This window comes from Homo sapiens, chromosome 13, assembly GCF_000001405.40.
Source record: "Homo sapiens chromosome 13, GRCh38.p14 Primary Assembly".
Taxonomy (NCBI): domain Eukaryota; kingdom Metazoa; phylum Chordata; class Mammalia; order Primates; family Hominidae; genus Homo; species Homo sapiens.
The window spans coordinates 80,456,485-80,457,252 of NC_000013.11; the positions used below are offsets into that span (position 1 = coordinate 80,456,485).

The window sequence follows — 768 nt, forward strand, 5'->3', positions numbered from 1 at the left end:
TGAGGTGGGAGGATTGCTTGAGTCTAGGAATTCAAGACTACAGTGAGCTATGTTTACACCACTGTACTTCAGCCTGGGTGACAGAGTGAGATCCCATCTCAACCCCCTTCCCCACCCCCCGCAAAGAAAACTACTGGAAGAAAACATAGAAGAAATTCTTCACGACCTTATTCTGAGTAAAGATTTAGCTGGGCATGGTGACTCACACCTGTAATACCAGCACTTTGGGAGGCCGAGGTGGGCAGATCACCTGAGGTCAGGAGTTTGAGACCAGCCTGGCCAACATGGTGAAACCCCGTCTCTATTAAAAATACAAAAATTAGCCAGGCGTGGTGGCAGGCGCCTGTAATCCCAGCTACTCAGGAGGCTGAGGCAGGAGAATCACTTGAACCTGGGAGGTTTCAGTGAGTGGAGATCATGCCATTGCACTTCAGCCTGGGGGACAAGAGCGAGACTTTGTCGCAAAAAAAAAAAAAAAAAAAAATATGAGTAAGACCAAAAGCACAGGCAACAAAAACAAAAGTAGCCAAAGACAAATAAGACTGTTTTAAACTAAAAAGCTTCTTAACAAAGGAAAAAACAGTGAAGATACAATGCGTAAAATGGGAGGAAATATTTGCAATCTATATATCTGATAACATCCAGAATATACAAGGGGCTTAAACAGCTCTACAACAATAATAAGAATAATCCTATTTAAAAATGGGCAAAGGATCTGAATAGACATTTTTCAAAAGAAGAGATACAAATGGCCAGCAGGTATATGAA

At 42.2% G+C, this 768-nt stretch overlaps 1 annotated feature.

Moving 5' to 3' along the window:
• Positions 1-170: an enhancer, noted in NCBI's record as "experimental_33392 CRE fragment used in MPRA reporter constructs". NCBI's record gives its function as "activates a minimal promoter by MPRAs in K562 erythroleukemia cells, with activity observed for both the introgressed and non-introgressed 13:81030705 variant alleles {active_cell/tissue: K562}" and the evidence as "EXISTENCE:reporter gene assay evidence [ECO:0000049][PMID:34662402]".